The following is a 26,597-nucleotide window of genomic DNA, read 5'->3' as shown; positions in this document are numbered from 1 at the left end:
ATAGATTACAAATGTGGAAATAATCATTGTTTTTAAAATGAACCAATTTGTCTTTATAAAACACTATTTTATATATTGCCAAGAACCTATGGATAACTACCATAATGGTGTAGAAACTGCAGTACCAGATTACTTAGCAAACACATCTTGTGCCTTCCCGGCTTTGGTGATGTTCTTCTATATGTTGGAAGTGTTTCAAGGGCAGGGATTGTGTCTCATTTTTCTTTGGATTGCCAGAGCCCCATGTGCATGAGAGAACCTTGACATTCTCAGCACAGCTGCTGGCTCATATCCAATAAGCTGAACCACGTGTTGTTCCTAAGGGTGTTCTACCATGAAGGATCCTGTGGTCATTCAGTATTAAATAAATATAGCCAAAATCTGGACTCTTCACTGAGCCGTGAATGAGAAACAAGAACTGGGAGAGCAAAAGAAATAAATAAAGAAAAAAATGAAGAGCAATACGTTGCTGTTTCAAGTGCCTGTTTCATTCCATGGACTTGATTATTTTGAGAGTTGAATCATTTTATACTATTTAGATGGGGATTTCTAGCTAGAGTACATGTTTTTCAAATGATTAGGACACATATACTCATAATAGATGATAATATGTGAAATTGGTGTTGTCCGAAAAATCAGGAATGTCATAAATTGAGGATCCACAATCTTTTTCTGAAAAAGACCATAGTAAGTATTTTAGGCACCATGGGCCAAACACCATTCTATCTACTCAGCTTGGCTGTTGTAGAGTGAAAGCAGCCATAGACAGTACATAAATGAATGGGCATGGCTGTGTTCCAACATAACTTTAAGAGCCCTGAAATTTGAATTTCACATAATCTTTAGACATAAAATATTCTTCTTTTAAATATTTTTCAGCAATTTAACTGCAAACAAAACAAAACAAAAAACCATAAAAACAAAACCTTCTTAGCTCAAGGGCCATATCCAATTAGCAGGCCAGATTTGGCCCATGGGTCTTGGATTACCAACACCAGTTACAGATGCAGTTCCAGCTCACATGGGTGAATACATTGTTTCTAATTATAAAAAGGCCTAGGTGTCTTAGTCCATTTTGTGTTGCTATAAAGGAACACCTGAGACTGGATAATTTGTCAAGAAAAAAGGTTTATTTGGCTCATGATCTGCTGGTTAGAAGACTGGGTGTCTCAGGCTGCTTCCACTCTTGGTGGAAGGCGAAGGGGAGCCAGTTTGTGCAGAGATCACCTAGCAAGAAAGGAAGCAAGAGAGCAGAGCAAGTTGAGAGAGAAGTGCCATGCTCTTTTCAGCAGACAGTTGTCATGGAAACTAACAGAATGAAAACTCACTCACCCCACCAGGAGGGCATTAATCTATTCATGAGGGTTCGACCTCCATGATCCAAACATCTCCCACTAGGTCCTACCTCCCAACACTACCATACTAGTGATTACATTTTAACATAAGATTTGGAGGGGACAAACACCTAAAGTATAGCAATAAAGGTTATTTTAGTTTCAATATAGTCAATTTAAAATGGTTTAGCCTAGTTATTTGATAGCAAGGTTATAACTGGAGCTTTCTCTAACTATTTCTGAAATGTTTCTTAAATATATGAACTCCATTTAGTAATCTGTCTACAGGGGAGAGTGGAGGGAAATTTTTTATTTTTTTCCTCATGAACGGTATTTAAATATCTGATTTGTTTTCTATGGACCAGGGCCTTAGGTAAAGTTGATGATGTGGAAAGACTAACTTGGGCTGTAGGGGCAAGACTGTCTTAAATTATGCTTTGGATTTGTTTGGTTCTGTGTTTTATATTCAAAGACTCTCAAGTGATTTGATAGTCCATCTCCAAAAGAAATATATTGTATCTAGACTTTAAATATTCACCACAGGCAGAAGAGACCTGACAGGAATTTCTATTACATTTTTTATGGTAAAAGTCCGCCATGTTTTCCTTTCTAGTTGAAGGTTTTCATACTTTTTAAGGGTGCATTTTTAGGCAGTAACTTGTCTTTTTACATACCCTTCTCCTGACAATGTTTTCCTTGCGGCCTTCTGTTCCATTTTAGGTGAGCAGATCTAATTCAGCCTTGAAATATTAATTGTAGTCTCTGGTGAAAGGATAAACTTTCATGCCTTAAGGATATCTGTAAAAATACAGACATAAAATGTGATTCTCTTTACTGTCCCATAGGGTTCAGCTCTCAATGCTTTCAAAGTCTTAGAAGCTAAAGGAACCCTTCTCTTTGGTTTTAGATTATGGCTTAGGTTAACAATTCTCCATCATTAAGTGTTTAAATTTTTAGGCTATTTAAAAACTTTTGTGAACTATTTCATATTGCAGAAGACCTATGCTTAATAAAACAAGCAGCAGGTTACATAAGGAAAGCAAACCACCTCATTCATATTTTCTCATTTTTTCCCTATACTTTCTCTTCCACCACAACCTTTCTCTAAATCTTTCTGTTCAAATTCATGCATATGGAGCAGCCATGCTTGGATTTCTGCCCCCTTAAGAACTGTTGAGAATCCAACTTGCTAAAGCAACCCCTAACTGAATATAGCTCTCTAAAAAGAGATCCAATCGTAACCAAACTCAGGAGCATCCCTTTACGTGAATGTTCTAACTTCTGCTAATACCTTATATTTGAATAGCATGTACCCTTTTTAAAGTCTGTTTTAAAATTGATTTTAGAGGGTGTGTAGTGTGAAAAACACTGGCATGAGACAGATTTGGTTAGCATTTCAGATTGCTCTAATTATTCTGTTTATTCTTTCAGCAAATATTAAATACATATGAGCCAAGCATTTCACAGACTTTGAATAATACAAAAATAAATGGGAAGAGGGTTCTTCTTCTAAAGAATGTGTAATGTATAGATCAGAGTGGATTAGGCAAGAGGACTTGTTCTGGGCTAATATTGTTTGAATTTGAATTCCAAGTTTAGCCAGTTACTAGTTTTGTAATCTTGGGGACATTATTTAACTTCCCAACACCTCAGTTTTCTTATCTGTAACTTGTTGAAAACAACATCACTTTTAGCGGGTGCTCTAAATAAGATGATACATGGGATGTGCTTATTACAGAGCTCATCATAGAGTAAGCCCTGAAACATTCATTCTTTATTTCCAGACAATTATTATTACTATTGTTGTTAAGAAAAAACAGTAACAATAGAAGCACCTAACCTAGTTTAAAGCTTGGACTGGAAGGTATTTGGGACAGTGTTTTGGAGAAGATGATGCCTAGGTTGTGCCCTAAGTTACTTAATCAAGTTCTTCAACTGTCAAGATAGAACTGGTGAGTCCCATCTTGCCATCTATTATACAGATCAATGTTCCTTTCCCTCTTTCCTCTTTCTCTTGATCCTCAAAACAATTTAATGAGTATGGCCTCTATATGTACAGATGTGATTTCTCCATGTTGTCTACCTTTCTGGTTAGATTTTAAAAGTATTTTCTTAAGCTTCTTGTGTAAACATTTAGAATGCAGAATTGAAATGGCATTGTCGAAATAAACTGGAAATGAAACTTCATTAAACCCTATAGGCTGGCTTCAAGTTTCAATACTCTTCAGAAATTCTAAGGTCTCATGAAGATTAATAGCCTAGAGAAGCAAAGGTGTAGTTTCTGATAACAGACAGAATGCAGGTTATAACAGGGCTTGATAACTATCAGCATGCAGATTACCCAAAAGGACATTCTAGAAATCAAACAGTCACAGTGAAATTTTTCAGCAGGACACAGCTCTGAGCAAGGTGCAAGGTCCTCAAATGTTCACGAATAACAGAGATCAGCTGTGTAATTGAATATTCTTGATTCCTCATTCATATTGGCAGCCATTATTTTTGTCTGCTGAAAGTGAGAGAAGGATACTTCCCACTGGGAGAGGTGAGATGAGTCTAAATGAAACCTGTAATTCATGTGATTATAGCCACTGCAAATGAAAGAATCTGATTTGCCAAGAAACCTAATAATAGGCAAGACTTTGGGGGCAAAATAGCAATCAGAGATTAGTCAAGCATTTTCTACATTTATGGAGGAAAAAAAAAAATCAGTGTTTCCTTTATTTCTATTCAGAGTCATGCAGAGAAGCAAATGTTTTCACTCAATCTACAATGCCTGCTGCCCATACTCAGACACATATTTGCATAGATACAGTTCTTACTTCCAAAGGCTGATTGTGTTGATAATTCCAATAAAGTTACTTTCTATGATTCAGATTTGTTTTTTTTGTTTGTTTGCTTGTTTTAACTTGACTAGCTTCTCTTTGCTACATTTTTTTGACCAGAGCACCCACATGAAAGAATGGTTTGCCTCTTTGGGCTCCAGTGACCTAATCCATAAAACACAAGTGCCTGAGATCCCTTTTGCACTAACATCCTATGGTTCTTGTCTGCAATTCTCAAAGGAGCTTTGGACATGGATGTTATTTTTTACACTGTGAGCCACCTGGTTTCACAAAACCAAAAAAGGCCCCAAAATGATTTTATCCTAAATTTAAATTTTTTTTTCTGTAACAGAACAATTGGTACAAGGGCATAAGTAGGTCTCAAAATAATAATTTTCAGTAGCTTGTTTAATTTGAGACAGCAGAATCTGTTTTTGGAGAGCCACTTTTAAATGATTCATTTTGAGATTAAAAAATAATAGTAACATATTATTTTCCCTTACTAAAGACTTGTGAAGGAAGTGTAATGAGCGAAATTCCTTAAGTTCCTAATTTTAGAGTAGCTTGGATAAGGTCCCAGAATTTTAGGTGAATATTTGTTATTATAACTCACAGGTTACTTTTTAATGCTTGATAAAGACATTAAACCTAATATTTTAGCTATGCCATTTATTCCTTTTTTGCTTTTCTTTGTTTTCTCTCTCTTCCTTTTTACAAAATTGTTCAGTTTCCATTTCTCTGTTTATTTGTTCTTCTAATTTCTATTGCATTTCTCCTAGCCTGAGAGTTTTCTTTCTCTTTCCAAAACTTATCACGGATAGAATCTTTCTAAAATATATTGTCGCCTAAGACTCTAAAAATGCTTTTATTTTGTTCTTTCTCATGGAGTCTTTAAATAAATCAACAAAAAATGATGAAAACCGCTATCATTGCCTTTTTCCAGGGAGAGTTTGTCTCAATATCTTTTTCATTAGCATTGCTTGTCCACATAGGTTTCCTTAAAACCCATTGTAATATTTTTAGCCTTCAAGAATTTAAGATCCACATTGGAGAGCACATTATTGAGCTGGTGGTATGTTTCAGGCCATCTTTTAGGTGGACAATGTTAAATTTATTATCACATGTATGATTAAATTTTTTGAGGTAGGCATTCTTATCTTCATTTTACAGAACAATAAGGTAATGGAGTGTGAGTACTACGCCCAGGGTGAAGTCATTAGTTAACTGGAAGTGGTTGAAATAGTGGAGAGTTTGGATTCAAAACCCAGATGTAGAGAATCCCAAAGCACATCCTCTGTCCCTTAGCACCATTGATTCTACAAGCCCAAGTATATTAATGCCAGCAGGGAAGGGTTTCTTAAATTCTAAAGCAAAACACTTATAGTGACTGAAAATCACTTTTTGATAGTTTAAAAACTGCCTTCAGCCCATCTTGCTTATTAGAGGCAATTCATTTTGGGGAAAAAGAATGGTCAACCAATTAACTAAAGTATCACAAGATGGTGGCACAGCTGATGCCCTGATTGGGGTTTTGATTTAATGATGGGGCCTGGGGACTATATCTTCACAAGACAAACATTTGCACTTTCTTGAGGCATGCACATTTATTACTAAACTGCCAGCAAACATTCTACTTCCTCTTCTTGTATCCTAACAGGAATATTTTTCTAATCCAATTGTAACTCAACCTTAGCTAGAATGCAGCCTTTCTCCAGATTCCAATATGGTAATCATCCATCACTTACCAGGAACAACAAAACTCTGCCTCTCCCCCAGCTACACAGATTTTGTTACATTTTGTTTTCTGTAATTTGTAAAATGAACATCACTGTTGTTCCTTAAATACAGATCATAATGTTACATTTTTATGTTTAATTATTTGCCTTTTAAAACTCTACCTCTTAATCCCTCCGGAAGCAAAGAAAATAATTGCTGCACTCGAGCATATGGACCCACAGTATCTTAGAAAATACATGGGATTTTTCAGTAGCTAGGACTATGGTGAAAAGACATTAGAGGAGTCAGTGTGTGACTGCTAAAAAAAGGTACATAAAAGGCTGTTTGTAGGCAAGCCAAGATGGAAGGTCTGTGGCTTCTCCTTCAAAGCATCAGTGATTTCCTTTTATACACTGGTGAAATAAATATAAAATACATTTGCGTTGTTGGATCTGGCTTTCTTAAAAGCAGAAATCCATAGCCATGGACATTATGTAGACTCTGAATTAATGCTTGCTTAGATGAATAGCATGAAGAATTGGATGAGACCCCTTTACTAAGTTTGCGTAGTGTCTGTGTCTTCTGTTTAGTGTAGGTTCTTTAACTTTTCCCCCAAGACTCCATCCAGGATTATAGACACCTATGAAATAAAGCCGTCGTGAATATCTGAATGTTTGCTTCAGGGAGTCGATCCAATTCTCTACTTCTTCCAGCCCTTGCTTTCCAACTGTCTGTCCCTTACCTTCTGACACATCATTAGTTACCTTCATTTACTTACTCTCAATGCCTCACCTCTAGGCTCCTTCTCCCAACCCTGTCCTAATTTGGACAATTGGTTACTCATCTCTGGATTATTGCAGACTTGGAACCCGACCAGGTACTAGAGGAGCAGACATTTTTACCTCATTTTATTTATTGACCATGGTACATGTTGGTCTGGATCAGTGAAGTAATAATATTATTAAATGCCCTATCAGAGGATCAGATCAGAATCATGCCTGTAGCCTTATGTGCACAGAAGTAAGAAATACATATTTTTATTTTGCAGTATATAGTGATCTCACAAAACGTCAGGAAGGATACATCAATTCTGGCTGAAAAAAATAGAGGGTATCTCAGCTGCTAATAGAGTATATTGGCCAGTATAAAGTATAGGATCATTAGACATCTGTGCAACTTCTTTTCAGGAGAAGAGTAATTTTTTTACCAAAAGGACAAAGAATCCCTGAATTCTTCTTAACTGAAAGAGAAATATCCCCCAGACTGTAAAGGTGATAATTTTACTAGAGTTTTAAGGCCATATAATCAGATAAACAGGAAACCAACATTTTATCTTTTGCAAACAGTGTGAGAAGTATTTGGGATTTAAAGAATTTGATCTTACAACCAAAACATATGCATAGTTTCTTGAAACATATCGTTTCTTGAGATATACACACATAAACGCACATGTACCTCTCAAAAAACTACATGTGTATTTAATATTCTTATAAAATGCATTGTTTGAAATACCTCATGTACCCCATAAATATATATACCTACTCTGTACCACAAAAATAAAAAAGATTTTAAAAATAGTTTTATAAGAAGCATTGTTTTACAAGAAAACTGAGCCTTATAGAAGTGAAGTAATATACTTCAATTTTATAGTTTAGAAGATAAACAATTTGACTGATATTTTAAAATTAAAATCAGAATTTGAACTCAGGTCTGTAAAACCCCAAAGCCTCTGTGAGATCTTTCCAGTGTCATGGCTTCCTAAGACAAAAGTTTTAAGGAAAATGTGTCAGAACTTTTCAGATAGTTAAGACATTCAGTGAAAAACCACGCAAAATATCAAATCTTGGCTATAAAAATCACTTCCAAAAATAAGCAAAGATGCATCTTCAGTGAGCCAAATAAAGGGCTCCCAAAAGTACTGGTGTACTTAGTAGAGAAGAAAAGTCCAAAATGGCAAAGTGACAAAGTATGTTTTAGATCCTCTAAACTGGTTGAATAACCTCAAAGGTTGAAAGTATTTTACCTAAATTGAAAGGCACAAAAATATGCTTTTCTCTTGAAACTAAATATTCTTAATTATTATTTTACATTATTTAATTTTATGCTATTACAATTAATAAATAACAATCATGACAGTAATAATGATGCTTTGGCCCTCTGTGCACCAGGGTGGAGAGATATATGTAAGCTGGTCCAGAATCATTTGAAATCGTTAGATTTGGGGCACAGAAACTGTCTCCAATACACCCTAGGAACAGATGGTAATAATAAAATCAGTTTTCTGAATTGATTGCATATAATTTCAGATCAGGAATCATTGCTGCTCTGAGAGTAATAGGAAAGATATTTTGTAAGCTTTGCATATTAAACTTAAAGTCAGTACTGAAACCTACTACTTCATTGTTCCACTTCACCAAAATTAATGGATAATCTAAATAAAACTGGCTAGTTTTGCTCTCATCGTAGAAATGATCTGGTCTCAGCACAGTGATACAAAGGAGTACATAACAACTTCAAAAGCTTTGAAAAAAATCACGTACAGCTTTACTGAAGATTTTTTAATTGGGCTTTAACGGAAATTACACCACACATCAGAAAGCAAAATGCCCTGAAAGTTGTCTCTACACAGTAACCTCCCTGAAGTAATGCCCACCATGAAACAGCTGTCTTGCAAGGCACAACTCTATTAACTAAAGTCCGCCATCTGCACACAAGGATCTACTTAACACGTTCCTTAAAGATGGCAGGTTCCTTAATCCTTTCGATGTTGCATAAAGACTATATAACACTTAACTATGAAGAGTCATGGGAAGATCTTTCTCATTGCGTTTTCTTTTAAATTTCATGATTGTGTACTTATTATAGTTCCTTTATAATGGGACTAGATTACCAGACTCTGCAGTATCTCACTTATTTTTTCGTGTGTGACTCTTTCCCGTCGTTCCCTACCTTGCTCAACATCCTAATATCTCATACCATTAACTTGATCCCTTGAGACATGTATTTATAACCATGAACTCTTAACACTGCAACACAAGCAATCTGGCTCTGTTAATGATGTTATCAGCAGGGAGAAACTCATTTAATGACCTGTGTGAGAACCATGCTTTCAATCACATGGATGTTCTGAGCAATAAAAGTGGAAGATCATATGAAAGTGGGTGAACAAAAGACACAGGGTTTTAGAGACGTGTGTATGTAACTGAAGCCATTGTATCTTGGAATACAAGGACAGTTGCACAAAAGCAGTATGTGATATGTAGTCCCATTCCTAGATATCATTGGCCATTTTCCTAGCCAGACACCAAATAGCATGTGATACATAAAAATAAATTGATCCAATAATAGCTAGGATTCCAAGAAATAGTAAATATATTTATGAGGTTATTAACTGAAAAATATCATTACCATTGCTGCAATTCCTAGAGATGGTAGTGAGCTCACACAGGGCACACAGCAGTACTGAAAAACTCTCAGTTGTTCATTCTTCTTCCCCTTCTCTTTTCTCCAAAATCTTTTTTGTTTGATTGCTTCAGGGTGGGTACAGAAAAATTCTCCCCCTTCCAAGTTAACAGAGAGAAAAAGCTGTAAATCCACAGATGTATAGCTAAAGAGGGCCGCTGAGAGCCTCCCAACCCTTTCAAATAACAGAAAAGAGAGCCAAAGTTGAGAAAAGTAAAATGACTTCTCATGGTCAAACAATGTAGCAGGAGACTGTCTTTTCCCCTTACCATCACAGCATGGATACCTAGCATATGTCGGATACTTTCCATGCACTCTGTAAATGTTAATCTAGTGAATAAACTGACGAATGTATTTTTTAATGCCATAGCTATTACCAGTACTCAGAATCCCTAATTCCTTGTATTTTTTCCTGTTGTAGTTCACTGTGATAGTTTCTTTTGGGTTGTTATCCTCTTTCTATGCTTCCTGGAAATGCGGGGAGTGGTCATAAATGTGAGATGAGGAACAGCAAAAGGTCAAACAGTTGGCAATATTGGGTGAAATGATGGATTCTAAGGCACAGGAGTAGAAAAGCTTTCTTCAGGACAAATGACCAGAAACTATTTGAGCTTCATTGAGGTATATGTCTAAGGTGTTAATGTTTGAAATCAGAGCATCAGTGAAATGAAAAATATCAGAATATCCAAATCTTTTGGAACATGTACAGATGCATTCATTATTTTTATGAATGTTTTCATTGTACAAAAAATATATTCAATTTTTATAATTTAGTTCACTTAAAATTCATGAACATGTTAAAAGAACCAGTAGAAATGTTACCATCTAGATAAAACTACTGTTAAAATATTCATGCTTGTACATTCAAAGTTTTCCTATGCCAATATCTGCATCTGTGTGATTTCTCCGTTTGGAAAATTAAAATGATGAATATTAAATGCCATTTTACCCTGTCTTGCTTGTGGCACTTTCTCACCTTTCTCCAATTTCACTGGTATGTGAACTTGTTTTGATAACAGTCAATTGGTGTGGGAATATCAATGTAGCTATCATTATTATCCTGTAACAGGTCCAGGTATTCTGCACTGAGTCATGCCTTCAAAAAGTTTACTATGTATATAAATGTGTGTGTATGTAACTGTTCCATATTCTAATTTTTAATTAAATGTTTCTGAAGTGGTAGATATTAAAATGTTTTTGCAAGGTCAACAAATGAGGGTGAAAGTCAGGATTATGAGTCAAAAGAGAACCTAGAATTAAACATTTCCCCGTAAGTCATCTATCCAGTGAAAAATTTAGAGCTAAAAATGGTAGAATATTCCTGAGAAAGTAAGACTTCTTGTTTCTAAAGTGATCAGTGCCTTGGCAGCCAACCAGCTTTCAACTAAGCAAATGAATTCACTAGTAAGTGGCATCCAACTGTAAAATAGAGCATCATTGAGACTTGGAGAATAGTTGAATGAGTCTTTCTGTGCCTTTGAAGACAAATAAGGAAAAATAAATACTACATTCAGGAAGCTATGTCAGATGTTCTAGATCTGGGCTGACCAATATGATACCTATTAGGCCCAGGAGTGTATTTAGACTTAAATTGTTTTAAATAAAGTAAAATAAAAATTGTAAAAGTAAAATTTTTACTTTAAAAGTGTTTAAGTAGGCTGGGCACGGTGGCTCATGCCTGTAATCCCAGCACTTTGGGAGGCCAAGGCGGGTGGATCACGAGGTCAAGAGATTGAGACCATCCTGGCCAACACGGTGAAACCCTGTCTCTACTAAACATAAAAAAACAAAAAATTAGCTGGGCGTGGTGGCAGACACCTGTAGTCCCAACTACTCGGGAGGCTGAGGCAGGAGAATGGCATGAACCTGGGAGGCGGAGCTTGCAGTGAGCCGAGATTGCGCCACTGCACCCCAGCCAGGGCGACAGAGTGAAACTCTGTCTCAAAAAAAAAAAAAAATGTTTAAGTAAATAAAAGTTTAGTTTCTAAATGGCTTCACAAGCACCTGTGGCCACCAACTGTTTTATTTGACAATGTAGACTTAAACTTTTTTCTTCAATACAGAAAGTTCTGTTGGACAAAAAGTTCTCTGTTGGATTGCACAAAGCTTATATCCTCCATGGCACAATTGAAGAGAGAAGACACAAGCACTTAAGGTTAAATAACAGAAGAAGAACTATCATAAGGTCATATATATTGCAAAGGAATGAGAATGATGGTCACTGCTCTAGCTTCAGCTCAGGTATCATGGACAAGACGATGGCACTTGAAGTGAACATCAAAGAAAATTTGTATATGGGATGATAGAGACTAGGGTGAAATACTTTTTTTTTCAGACTTAAGGTCCAAGGACAAAAGAGGTAATGGTTTCTTTTGAAAGAATCTGGGCATGACCTGATAGCCTACTAGCCTAGGGATCACTGTTGTTCATTGAGAATTTAACCTTTGGTTGTATCATAATGTATTAGGTTTTGGGATATCTTAATGTAAAATATTAATCTCTTTCCTTTGAGGGTCCAACTTTAATTATGAGTATCCAACTGCGTGCCAAGCGCTATGCCTAGGAAGTCACAATTTCATCTCCTGTGTACATGAAGCATTTTTTCTGTATAGCTGAACTTGATGCTTTTACATATGCTTGATATTTTATCCAATTGCTCAGAGTAGCATGGTCTGCTTCAAGTTTTTTTATATCATTTCAAGATGGAAATTAAAAGTTAATTTCTTTTCCTCTTTTGTGGTAGTAACATTGCTGTTTTAAGAGTGGTACTAAGCAAAAATGAAAACAAGAGTATTGTTTTTCAGAGTGACAAATTCTTAGGGATTTAGGGATTGGTGGTGCTTCAAGGCTGACTTGACAAATATATCTGTTTAGGAGTTTCATACTTTATATACAAATGGAATTAACTTGATACCCTTTCATATGGTTTGGTTCTGTGTCCCCACCCACATCTCATGTCGAATTGTAACATTAGATTATTTTAAACACCCCATACAACTTCAAAAAATTCTGAGGTGGCATTGTTGGATTCAGCAAATAAGAATATGGGACACAAAATAAAATCTAAATTTCAGAAAAATAATAGTTTTTAACACGTAAGTATGTCTCAAATATTGCATAGGGCATACACTAAAAATAAACGACAACAACTTGGTGTTTATCTGAAGTTCAACTTTAACTGGGTGTCCTGTAGTTTATTGAGCCAGTGTAGGGATAGTCATTCATTTCACAAATATTTATTGAGTATTGTTAGAATAAAAATCTTAGACAAAATATATTTAACAGAGTTTAATTGAGCAAAGAATGATTTGTGAGTCGGGCAGCCCCTAAACCAGAATAGGTTCAGAGAGACTCCAGCACAGTCAAATAGTGAAAAAAGATTTAGGGATGGAAAAAGATAAGTGACATACAGAAAATGGAAGTGAGGTGCAGAAATAGCCAGATTGGCTATTCCTTGGCATTTGCCTTATTTGAGCACAGTGGGATTAGTCAACTGACTTTGATTGGTTGAAACTCAGTGATTGGCACAAGAGTAATTTATAGTCTGTTTATATATCCAGTTAGGTTGTGGTTTTATGTATGGAGAAATTATTTTTAGGCTGAACTTAAAATATGCAAAGAGGCAGAGTTAGTCTAAACTTAATTTAATAGTACGTGCTAGGATTCATGACTGGTCCTAGGTCCTAAGAATACAGCTATTAAAAAATCAGTTGTAGGTCTTGGACCCCTGGAACTTAGGTTTAAAAGAGATGCTTCTCAATTTTTAGTCTCAATCACCAATTATGTGTTTTTCTCAAAATTAGTTTAGTAATTTTTCACTTTCTCTGATCATTCCTAGTAATTAATTCCTATTATTAATAAACTAATACAAATTATTTTAAGCAAATGACTGAAATCCATTAAATATATTTTGGATATTTTTAAGTAGATTGGATAGTTTTCTACCTTTTAAGAAAGAATGCACTGGTGAGAGGAATTCTTTCAGTGACATACATTAATTTTTGCAACAGAATTATCAAACAAAAATATTTCTAAAATCCATGTTCAAAATGCTCTCTCAACAGAACACTTTTAGAGAAATTCATTATTATAGTTTCAATAATTATTTTTATTTGTATTTATTTATTTACTTTGAGATGGAGTCTTGCTCCGTTGCCCAGGCTGGAGTGCAGTGGCATGATCTCATCTCACTGCAACCTCTGCCTCGTGGGTTCAAGTGATCCTCCTGCCTCAGCCTCCTAAGTCGCTGGGATTACAGACGTGCTAATTTTTGTATTTTTAGTACAGATGGGGTTTCACCATGTTGGCCAGGCTGGTCTTGAACTCCCAACCACAAGCCATCCACCTGCCTGGGCCTCCCAAAATGCTGGGATTATAGGCCAATTATTTTTATTTTTTAAATGACATTATTAAACTATCATTTCTGTAAATGCTAACTTAACTGATACTTTTTCTATGCAATAGCTGTTGAAGGACTCACCTATGACAAGTTTAATCATTTTCTTATTGTCTACTTTTGCTTGTATTAAGAATATTTTCTTCAATCCATGGTGCCTGTCTATTAATTTTTTAAGCTTTGTAGACATTCTGTGAAGGTTAGTAAAACTAGTGTATATTTTCTGTCAGTTGTCTTAACTAGACACATAAATGGGACACATATAAATTGTAGAAAGTTGAAAATAATTTTAGGATATTGTTAATAATTCTCTTTTTAAAAAAAATACTTGAATTTCTTTTACACTTGATCTTAGCCAAAAGGCTGAGAAATGATTACCTTGGCTTTCTTTTATTGAAAATGTTTTCACATATTAAATTCAAATTGTTAAAAATTACATGTAAGCACATAATGTACAATATATTTATCTAAAAATATGTGGGTAACAGTTTTGAATAAGAAACCATTTGAAATTTAAAATTCTTTTTTGTGTAACCAATGCATGTACGGGTTTCTTTTATGTTTGAGTCACTAGTTTATTATTTGTGATGATCCACTAGTATATTCACTAATGTTCCCATAAAACTGCCTAACTTATTCTTTTTAATTATTGTTGTGTTAAGAACACTTAACAGGAGATCTACCCAAAGAATTTTTATGTGCAATACGGAATGGTTAACTTCACCATGATGCTGTACAGATCTCTAGAACCTAATCATCTTGTATCACTGAAGTGTCAGTTATTAAACTGTGAGTTTTAAAGTCACTTTTTCTATCAAAACATCTTTTATTGACTATGATAAATAACCAAAACAACAGTAACCACAACAATAACCACAGAAGCAACATATATATGAGTAAAGCTTACATTTTTAAAAAAGTAAACATAAATACAAATATGTTAGTTCTAATATTTTCTTCCTTTATGCCAGTGAACTGTCTTGTGCTTGTGCTTCCCAGGTTGAGGACCACCACCAGAGATAAAAGCTTAGGCCTTTGACCCCGTGTATAACTCAGTTAATCACTTACTGCACTAAAATAGTGCATGTTGTCTGCACCACCATTAAGTAAGCCTTAATTAGCCCTTGTGATAGTAAGGAAACTTGACACTGAATCAGCATTCCTAAGAGCGCAGAGAAGCAAATGGAGCACAGGATGAAATTATTGCATGTGAAACCTTTCTTTCAAGAGAACCAATAACTATAATTGAAACATCTCACAATATTTGATTTGCGTTCACCCCATAACCAAATGCTTCAATTAAACTCATTTGTATTAGAATGGCTGAGATCATTTCCAACACTTTGTCTAAATTACTACAGGCTTCAGTCTGGAATATCAAACTCTGACTTCAGAGGACACAGCCTGGGCTTTTGGCAGCCACTGGACAGAATGTAACAGGGATCTTTATCATTCTTATATGGGAGTTCTCATTAGTGACTATAAGCACTTTTTTCATATACTTGAAGCAAAATTTATTCCACAGAGAGCTAATCAGCATCCACAGCCATCAAACAGGATTCCAAAGTAGTTTTTATTTTTAAAGAGGTGTGTGGTTTTACACATGGTAAAGGAAGATGAAAATACCCCTTCTGCTTGCATTTTGGATCTATTTAAAATATTGAAATGTTGTCTAAGCAGAGATGAATTTCAAGGTCAGCTCTCCCGTGGGACACCTGTCTTTGCTTCCCCTGAGGAAATAATGTGGACTAAGTTCTGAAATATTTGTCCAGTTATTTTGAGGTCAGGAATTGTACTCATTAATACCAACTGAAATGTAAGCACCTAGAAATATTGTGGAATGCAAGAAAATCCTAATGTACATCCAAACTGTGAAGGAATAGTTAACCTCTCATAACCACTCCTACTTTTGGGGAAGGAGCTCATCAGTGGCCTACAAAGACCTTAATGCATAGTGGTAGCCTGGACATTGACTGAAAATACTCATTGTTCTCTGATACCATGAATTCTTTCCTCTAGTACCATAAACTTTTAGAATTCAAAGAAAGCAAAAATGCAACCCATGCTCCTCTAGATAACAGTCTGAGGCCGTGGAAGAGAATTGACTTGGCCCGAGGTTTCACAGCTTTTCTGGGACAGAGCAAAGGAAGCTAGAATCAAGACTTTATGGATCTCAATATTCTTCTTTGTCTTAGTGACTCTACTGGCTGAAAAGTACTGATTTTCAGCACTTATACATCAATTTAATGCAGATAATTTAAACAGAAGACAACCTGATTAAGAATGATGACCTTTAACACAAGTTTTAAAAAACATCTGAAGTGTGTACATGTATATTGCCCAAATGATCATAAGCTTTATGAGGTCAGGGACTGAATATTTAATTTCATGGGATTTTTTTCCTAGGCAGTGCAAATCTTTCCTCAGTATAAGTGTTTAGCAATTGCTGGTTAGTGGGGAAAAGCATAAGGTCATGAAGACTGTTATCTACCACTCTCCTCTGTATCCATGCCTATAAGATAATGTGAAAAAATTACCGCACTGGGCAGGGAATATCTGAGCAGGTGAATACAAATATACTTTTAAAAGGATGCCTTTAAAATTCCTCCTTTCTTTTCTCCTGTCCCTGTTCCTGCTGTGAAATGTAAGATAGGATTTTTATACTTTTACACATCCTTAGTTCTGTGAGAGGGGACAGGTTTGAGGACTTAATCCTCTTTTTAAGTGCCACAAAAATAAGGAAGCGATGAATCTTGTCTTTGAAGTTTATAAGGATTTTTTGAGCCAAAACCTTTTGTCCTTAATAAGTAATAGATCTGCAGGCAAGCAAAGTCCTTAGATGCTTAGAACTGGCTACCTAGTTGGCAATAACGTTAGAACAATTTTGATGTATTTTAAGGTTGGATGAGATCTCCAACCCAACCTCCTTTTTAGTAAATAATAATTTGCTGTACTATTGCTGACCAGTCCTTTCTTTGCCAGTTTCAAGAGTGTTTGATGATTATTATCACCACACAGGATTAAACACTGTAAGGAAGATAGATAGATAGAAGATTCTTATGGCATCATTTTCAGCTGGCCAAATAAGAAAGAAAAGTGGTTAGTTCGTAAGTATGAAGAGATGCCAAAATCTAACAAAACAGAAAAGCTATTATTGGAAACAAAAAACCAAAATAAATCAACACCATATAAGATATATTTTATTGCTTTAATTTCCAGGATTTCTGTGTAATCAATATTTGTTGACTCATATACCATGAAGTTATGGCTATCTAAATAAATTTAATCACCAAAGATAAGCAAAGGATCTGTTAAAAAATTTAACTGGGGCCGGGTATGGTGGCTCACGCCTGTAATCCCAGTACTTTGGGAGGCCAAGGCGGGTGGATCGTGAGGTTGGGAGATCAAAACCATCCTGGCTAACACGGTGAAACCCTGTCTACTAAAAATGCAAAAAATAAAATTAGCTGGGTGTGGTGGTGGGCACCTGTAGTCCCAGCTACTCCAGAGGCTGAGGCAGGAGAATGGTGTGAACCCGGGAGGCAGAGCTTGCAGTGAGCCGAGATCGTGCCACTGCACTCCAGTCTAGGTGACTGAGCAAGACTCAGTCTCAAAAAAAAAAAAAAAATTTAATTGGAAGGTCATTAGGCATTTTGGGTTCCTACGTAAGCAAACTGAAGCTCAATATAAACAGTAAAACAAAATGAAACTTAAGCTTAACTAATCAGAGACTTCGACTAACCTCTAACTTAGGATATTCCACTTTAACAAATCAAGTATTTTGTTTTGCTTCTGCAAACACTTTATACAAGTTTACTTTCTTGCCCTCTCTGCCCCTCATTCCCAGAGGAATGCTGAACCACTTGCATTTGAATTGGTGTGAACCAATTCATGAATCACCAAATGCCCAAATAAACTCTTTAAATTTTTCATGTGCCACAGTTTATCTTTTAACAGATCGAAACCAAAGGTTGGAAAGTATGGTGGGAAAAACTATTGGCTCATATGATGTTAGGTCATGCTAAAATATCAAATGGGGATTGTATTAGTCCGTTGTCCCATTGCTGTAAAGAACTGCCTGAGACTGGGTAAGTTATAAAGAAGAGAGGTTTGATTGACTCACAGTTCTGCAGGCTGTGCAGGAAGTATGGCTGGGGAGGTCTCAGGAAACTTACAATCATGGTGGAAGATGAACAGAAAGGAGGCACATCTTACATGGTGGGAGCAGGAAAAAGAGAATTAAGGGGGAAGTGCTACACACTTTTAAACCAGATTTCATGAGAACTCGCTATCACAAGAAGAGCAAAAGGGAAGTCCGCCTCCATGACCCAATCACCTCCTACCAGACCCCTCCTCCATCATTGAGGGTTGTAATTTGACATGAGATTTGGGTGGGGACATATAGCCAAACCATATCAGGGATATTTAAAATGGTACCTCTATTCTCTATATAGATGTTGTGCTTAAAGTGAATACACACTTTTTTCCTCCTGTCTATTTGGAATAGCTTTAACATTAGAACTAACCTCATCAGGCCCATCAAATTTAAGCTACCTTAGGATATTATGAAACCCAGCACCAAAATAGTATTACAAAAACATTCTCCAAAAGCAGAAATAACTCGTGGGCTTGAAAAGGGACCTTTGTTTCTCAAAGTCTGAGAACACAGCAGGGCAGGGATCAGCATGTGTAGTCTTCTTGCAAGTCAAATGCTTTATCTGTGAAGCGAAACACTATGCGGAACTCTGGTTCTGCCAGAGACATAGCAGTAATGATGCTATTAATTTGTAGTTTTGGTTGAATATGTGTCAATGAAATAAAAAGCTTAGCTCCTGGAGTTTTTAGAATTAATGTTTTTCAAAGTTGTAAGAAAATGTAAGGCATTCTGGCCATGTTAGCAAAATAAAAAATTGGTAGGGAGCTGGAGGACAAAATTCAGAAAAAAAAACTTTCCCCAAGGCTTTTTTGATTTTTAATATTCAGAAGGCATCGCTACGTTTGTACAAATGGCTATGGAGAATAAAACTGAAACAAAGTTGTAGGAACATAGTGGATGGAAAAAATTCATTAACCCTCTTATCTATACAACATTCTTTTCCTATCTGATGTTCTGTATTATATGGAAAGTCAGCAATATCTACTTTCATTTTAAAGATGGGAAACCGAGGTCTTGGAGAAGTTGAGGCCATTTAGTGAAGAGATATACTGTAACCAAGGGCAAGAATGCAAATATCCTAACATTAAAAATTCTCTTTTAGTGGGATGCAATCCAATACCAACTATCCTGATTTGAATTTGAATCGGATTTCAATTCATTCACTGTCAAACTCAATTAAGACACATTTATTGGGAGCCTCCCATTAGCTGGTACAACCTTAGGGACTAGAAATAAAGTGAGAGACAGCTCTGTCTTCAGAAATCATACAGTTTATTTGGAGAAATAGGCAAGAAAACAACAACTGCAAAACATAGTAATATGAACATTCAACAAATGGGCCATTGGAACATTCAAGGGACCCTAAGTTTAAGATCACTGTATATCCCACTTTACCTGGGAGAATTCTGGTTTACTTCAAATGTTCTTGAGTAATTATTGTTGGTACCCGATTTCACCCTGGAAAGAATCCTGGTTGCAATTATAAATTATATGACTACCTTACTCAACCTATGCCAGGAGATGAGAAAAAGCCTTTTTAAATGAAGTTACTTTAAACTAGTTACTCCCATATAGTTTTCCAACTAATTTCAAAAACTCCTATTTAATTTACTTCCAGTATATTATCTGTATTGTCACCAAATGATCATTCTAAAACCCAAATCTAGCAGTGTCATACCTAATATTTAAAAAAATATCATTAGTCCCTTATCTGTAGGATAAATTCCAAACTCTTTAGTACATTATGTAAGGTATCCCCTGTCCTTGCCTCTGCCCATCTGTGGATATTCATTAAAAATACATTAAAAAAAATGCCTCTTAGTTCTTCAGTCATAGCAATTGTGCCATGCTGTTTCAAGCCTCTGTGCCTTGACACATGCTGTTCCCTGTGACTATAATTCTCTTCCTCCAACATTGATCTGCCTAGTGGACACCTAGTTCATTTTTCTTTCTTTCTTTCTTTCTTTCTTTCTTTCTTTCTTTCTTTCTTTCTTTCTTTCTTTCTTTCTTTCTTTTTCTTTCTTTCTTTTTCTTCCTTCCTTCCTTCCTGTCTGTCTTTCTTCCTTCCTTCCTTCCTTTTTCTTTCTTTCTCTCTTTCTTTCTTTCCTTTCTCTCTCTTTCTCCTTCCTTCCCTTCCTTCCCTTCCTTCCCTCTCTTCTCCTTCCTTCTCCTTCTTTCCTTCTTTTCTTTTTTTCTTTTCTTTTTATTTTCTCTTTTCTTTTCTTTCAAAAACATCTTTCCTGAGCCTCACAAGCTGAAATTTGCCCCCTTAATTTCACCACTGAACAATCTCTACATTGGCGTGCATCACAACACATTACATGTTTTGTCTACATGTCTGTTTCCCTGACTTAGCTGCAGATTTTTTGAGGGGTCCAACCTGTTCTCATCTGTGTCTCAATGTGCCTGTGCCCATTTAATAAATGCTTGTTTAGCTGCATGTCTTAAAAATTAGGTGAGCAGGAAAAAAGGTAGGTTAGGAGAAGTTTTTGAAGGATGACAGAATTTGCAAAGGTATAGATATTTAAGAACATCAGATAATCTTTGGGAACTGCATATTGTTTAATGTGTCCCAGTCATTCGGTAACTGTGGGAGAAGAGATTACGGAAGGAGAATTTTTTTGTGTGTAATTACTACAAATTCCCATGGGTTTTGGGAAACAAAAATCCCATGGATGATCTATTTTGCTAGAAAGTATATTTTAAAAGGGGCAGACAGGCTAAAATTTTCATTCGTTTCCTAAATGAGTAATGATTTACTACCATGTAGTAGGTATTGTGCAAAGCAGATTGTGTACTGTGGTTGTAAACGAGCCCGTTAACATTGGCTCCTCCCTAATGTACTTTTCTGTGTTCCATTAAGGGAATCTCAGAAGTGGAAATGTCTGAATTAAGAAAGGTCTCAGGCAGGGTGCGGTGGCTCATGCCTGTAATCCCAGCATTTTGGGAGGCCAAGGCAGGTGGATCAGGAGGTCAGGAGATCCAGACCATCCTGGCTAACACGGTGAAACCCCATCTCTACTAAAAATACAAAAATTAGGCCGGGCGCGGTGGCTCACGCCTGTAATCTCAGCACTTTGGGAGGCCGAGGGGGGCGGGTCAGGAGATCAAGACCATCCTGACTAATGTGGTGAAACCTCGTCTCTACTAATAATACAAAAAATTAGCCGGGCATGGTGGCGGGCGCCTGTGGTCCCAGATACTCGGGAGGCTGAGGCAAGAGAATGGCGTGAACCCGGGAGGCGGAGCTTGCAGTGAGCTGAGATCGCCCCACTGCTCTCCAGCCTGGGCGACAGAGCGAGACTCCCTCTCAAAAAATAAATAAATAAATAAATAAATAAATAAATAAATAAATAAATAAATATTAGCCAGGTGTGGTGGCACGTGTCTGTAGTCCCAGCTACTCAGGAGGCTGAGGCAGGAGAATCGTTTGAATCCGGGATGCAGAGGTTGCAGTGAGCTGAGATTGCGCCATTGCGCTCCAGCCTGGGTGACAGAGTAAGACTCTGTCTCAAAAAAAAAGAAAGGTCTTAATTTGGAGATTAACATTTAATGAGCATCTACTCTTTGGGACCTCTCATTCCACACAAAACCAAAAACCAAAGATAAGGTCATAGGGAATATCAGCAGCAGAACCAGCATGACTCTGATCCCAGAGGATCCTGTGATCAGTCAACTTGCTTGGAAAAACAGTAGAAGCAGCAACTTAACTGGCTACTGAAAAGCATTCATTCGCACTTGCCTGGGATATGCAAATGTCTGACGAGTCTCCAGCACTGATGGGATTTTAGTGAATGTTAGCAAAAATTAAAGAATCAAGAAGCTATTGAAACAAACACCTGATTAATTATCCTGCATATACTTCAAATACAGTGAACTTGAAATTATCCCTAATCTGTTCCCCATACAGTGATTCATGGCATTAGGTTTTTTACATTCCTGGAGCCATAATGGACCAATAGGTGTAGAATTCAAGAAGTTTTTTTTTTTTTTTTTTTTTTTTTTGGTGGGGTGGGGAGGTCTGGTATTAAAGAATTATGCACTTTAGGAGATTTTTTTTTCTGTCTGTCTGCCCTGGGAAGTTTACTGGGACTTTGGTGAGGAAGGGGGGTTAAGTTAAATCATTTTCAATCTCCACTGAAGAAATGAGTGTAGACATTCCGCAACAAAGACTGACTATGTCATAAAAAGAGAGATAGCTAGATATTTTTTGCTTCCTAATGAAAAAAACACATCATTTATAAAATAGTATTGAAAAAAGAAAATCTAACCTGAATCAGATCAAGCTTCTATATCTAATTTCCAATTTATAGGAAGTACAGAGGACAGAGGAGCATGTTAAATTCTACTATGGAGATGCAATCAACAAAATACTCATTTTGTAGTAGTCCACAAACCAAATTACCCTGCTTATTTGACTAATAAATTGCAAGAGAGGGACAGAGCGAAAAACAGAAAGATTATATAGATTAAAAGAGACTTAAAAGATATATCGAGCAATCCCAATGTCAGGGCATTATTTAAATCCTAATTCAAGTAAATGTTAAAAATAAGCAAGAACTCTGTAAGACAATGGAAATTTGAATACTAGCTGCAAATTTGATTACATTGAAAATGATTTTTAAATTATTTTTGGTGTGATAATGGTGTTGTTTTTATGTCTAACAAAGCCCTTGTCTTTTAGAGATGCATACTGAAATACTTATGAAGAAAATTACATGGTATATAATTTTTTTCGAAATAATAGAGAAAAACAGTGAATGGTCATAGATTTAATGTGGTTCACCATGAGTTCATTGTCGAAGCTAGGTGATGGACATACGCAAGTTTATACATATTATTCTGTCAGTTTATGTCTTATATTCTCCATAAAAAATTGAAAGCTACTGGAAGGAAAGACAATATATTAATTAATGTAGATCTCTCTTCACAAAAACAAACATGTTAATTCCCAGGGAGATGAATCTGTCCATTTCACTGTGAATTATTTTATTTTATTTTTTTGTAGAAAATATGCATTACAGAGTAGCAATATAGAAATTTTTAACCTGGTATGTAAGTCCAGGAGTGATTTAGTAAATCCGTAGTTACCCAGAACTATATACAAAATTGATATTAGATGTTTGTGTTTTTGCATTCTGGAAATCAAAGGATTCAATAAATCAAGAGTATAAAATAAAACACAGATATTATTGCTTTTTAAAAAAGAGATTGCAGAGAAATTTTGATTGTCCTTATGTGATCTGGAAACTGAAATAATAAAATGCATTTCCTACATAACATAATCAATGAGAAAATGTTTATATTTTGTCAAATCTATGCATATTACAATGTATAATTTGAGGCAAACTTTTTCTTTGAGCAAAAATAATGATACATCCTTGTGTATTGCAGTTTGTATTTGACTAAATCTGCTTTGTCCATGTTTGTGAGCTCAAAATCATCTCCTCTCTAGATCACGTCTCTTCACTCATTTAAGGCAACCTCCCTTCTAGCCCATGGCCTTCTCCAATTTTCCTTGGCCAATGTTGAACTGTAGGAACTCTGAGGAACGTTTAGATTTCTATATGTACCATTTAATAAATGTTCTGTCTGCAAGTTCAGGATAAGTTCTCTATTGGCATAGACCATAATTTTGCTGCCTATGTATTCCTCTAGTTGTGTTAGTCTGGTGAGTAAGAAAGCATCACTATTCACGGTGCTTCCACTCATTTCATTTTGCCTTTGATCTAGAAGTAAAGACACCTAAATTAGACATTGTAGAGGAAACCAAATAAATGCCATCTTTGAAGAAATATTTGTATAATACTTTTTAAATTCTCTAAGTTTACTCATATACTTTTATTCTAGTTGAACGTGAAAAATTAGGCACACGTGGAAATGTTCAATGACATAACTGTAGGCAAATTTCTTTTTTCATATAGTTCCTTTTTTTAGTTCTCACTTTGTTGTCATAATTAGGCATTTTAAAGTCCAAAAGACATATTCTAAGACAAAATTACAATAAAAACCTTTCCCCTCGTGTAAGTTTCCTTGTAAGGCCATTTTGAATATGATCCTTTTTTTACAGCTTTACTTATATTTGTTTTTTTAAAGTATGTAAGTTCACATATTTAGAATCTCTTATTCTCACATTTAAAACTGAATTTAGGAAAATATATTATCTAGGAAGATTTTCATGAGTTTTTCTCATCAGCAGTGTTACCTATTTTTCTGCAGTGTAACAACTTTGGAACACAAAGGCATTTGAAATAGGCATCCTTGATACAAATTGCAGATTACTTTCTCACTACTCCTGGCTGTGTACTCCCAAATCAATAGAAACTCATGGGATCTGAAAATTAAATCTTGCAGTCCATTTTTAAAATTCTGACTTTATTGATAAGGTTATAATCATTCTGCACAATTTTAGCAAGTTCAGGTGGAAAAGTGTTAACATTGGCATTTGAAAATGAATGTACTAAGTAGGAGGGTAAAGAGATGTAAAGTCTCTACATCCCTAAAGGTCCTTTTTAAATTTCATAGACTGCACTAAGTACATCAGAGGCATTTTGCTGAAACACCCTGCTATTGCCAGGTTGGTTCCTTTTGCATTACCTTAATGCAAGAAACTAGACTCATCCCAAGTGGGGAAGAGTAAAGCTCAGTCATTTCCAATTAAGAAACCACTGATCTCAGTCATCAAGACTCCGAGAGCTCTGACAAAATCTAAGACAGTTTTGTAAATACAATGGCCACATACTCATTTCTGAAGGGCTAGCATTTGGAGCTCTATTAACAATAAATACATTCTGAATTTACACTACATGCTATTTAATAGCCAAGAAGAACCTGAGGAGACTTTAGAACTAAAGTCTAAAGTCTAGTTCGTTTCGAACTAAAGTCTAGTTCTAAAGTCTAGTTCCTTTCCCCTCATGTAAGTTTTCTTGTAAGGTCATTTTTGAATATGATCCCTTTGTTTTTTCTTTTCTTTAGCACTAACTAGACTTTATTCTAGTTCTTCTTGGCTATAAAATAGGATGTAGTAAGAAACAATGTGTTTATCTAGCTCTTCTTCTTGATAAACGAACAGTATCATAAGGACTGTGATTCACCACTTCAACTAAACTCAAAAAGAGTATATTTTTTATAATTTATCTTTCCGTGTTAAATAGTTTGGAAAGAACCAATCATTCCCTATGTCCTTGCTTATGTCCTTCACCATCGCAAGTCTAAAATTCCTTGTTTCTACACCTAGATGGATTTTACCCCAATGTGAATGTGTGAATCCTGTAATTGGATTTATACTGTTCATTAGTCCCCCAAAACTCTCAAAATCCTCAAAATCTTCTAGCATCACAAAAATTCTGTCTCTTTAACCTTTTCAGTTATTATTTCTTCTCCTTGCCATGAATAGAACACTGCATCTCTACTGAATTCACTGCTTCCCTTGAGGCTTTGTGAAGTCATCAGTATTTTTTGATCCTCATAATCCTTACAACACAAGTCCCAGAAATAAGACTGTTTCGTAATTCTGGCTGTTGTTTCTTTTCTCCCTCAAAAACCCCTGCTGTTTGATGTCATACATGGCCACTTTCTATCCCTTTGTATTAGTCTGTTCTCATGCTGCTAATAAAAACATACCGAAGACTGGGTAATTTATAAAGGAAAGAGGTTTAATCAACTCACAGTTCCACATGGCTGGGGAGGCCTCACAATCATGGCTGAAGGCAAATGAGCAAAGTTACGTCTTACATGGCAGCAGGCAAGAGAGCTGGTGTAGGGGAACTCCCTTTAGAAGATCTTGTGACACTTATTCACTATCATGAGAGTAGCATGGGAAAGACCCCTTCCTGTGATTTAATTACCTCCCACCAGGTCCCTCCCATGACATGTGGGAATTACGGGAGCTACAATTCAAGATGAGATTGGGTGGGGACACAGCCAAACCATATTACCCTTCTCATTGTTATTGTTTACTAATCTTCCAATTTTAGCACTGTAGTCACTTTTTTTTAATGCTGAACTTGCAATCTTTCTTGGGGACAGTAACAGTCATGGGGATAATTCGTTGTAAATGGCTCTCATATTTTTACCACTTTACCCAATTCTCTCTTAATTGCTTAGTCATTGTTATCAGTACTATTTATACCATCTTTCCAAAGCCTAAATTTCAAATCTCTGTGATCACCATTTTCTATATTTTATGCTCATTTACTCCATTCCATCCATGACAAAAATTTAACTCCATTTGAACTTCCAACCCACTTAGACTACAAGTTTTCCACTTTCTCCTGGCTCATGTACTCATTTTCCCTCAACCAGCTTAGGGTTCATGGTCCATCATTGCAGTAAGTTGTTTAATGTACTTTCAAGTCTTTCCACCTTCCCCTGACACCCGCTGACAATCTCACAAAACTCCAGCACTACCCAAACCTAACTTCCTCCCTACTTGTCTCTCTCTGCTCCCAGTGTCTGGAGGAATCACACAGCCTTACCACTAGGACTCCATTTTAATTTGTAACAGCAAATTTTAAATGAGTACCCAGGACCACTCAGAAGTGCCCAGACACCCTTCTACATTTGTCTAGTGAACTCACTTTAGTTCTTCTTTCAAATTCCACATTCTCTCCAGACCACCTTTACTCTCAGTGAAAAACTCACGGAAGTAAGAAAAATTCTCTTCCACCATCGAATCTACCAACTTGCATGCAACTGGACTCACATTCTCA

General features: G+C 36.0%; 1 long non-coding RNA gene across 2 annotated transcripts; it reads right to left on the bottom strand.

Annotated features, from left to right (window-relative positions):
• Positions 1–1,108: 1,108 nt before the first annotated feature.
• LOC102724439 (uncharacterized) lies at positions 1,109–26,597 on the bottom strand. 2 transcript variants are annotated; one of them, XR_946297.3, is made up of 4 exons: positions 26,466–26,597; positions 9,281–9,432; positions 2,009–2,132; positions 1,109–1,227 (listed from the first exon to the last, which is right to left on the bottom strand). It is a non-coding gene; the product is annotated as an uncharacterized LOC102724439 (long non-coding RNA). The 2 variants fall into 2 exon arrangements; XR_428810.4 differs by lacking the exon at positions 9,281–9,432.

The sequence above is a fragment of the Homo sapiens genome, chromosome 10 (genome assembly GCF_000001405.40).
Source record: "Homo sapiens chromosome 10, GRCh38.p14 Primary Assembly".
In the NCBI taxonomy this organism is placed as follows: Eukaryota; Metazoa; Chordata; class Mammalia; order Primates; family Hominidae; genus Homo; species Homo sapiens.
This window is presented reverse-complemented; position numbering and strand designations above follow the sequence as displayed.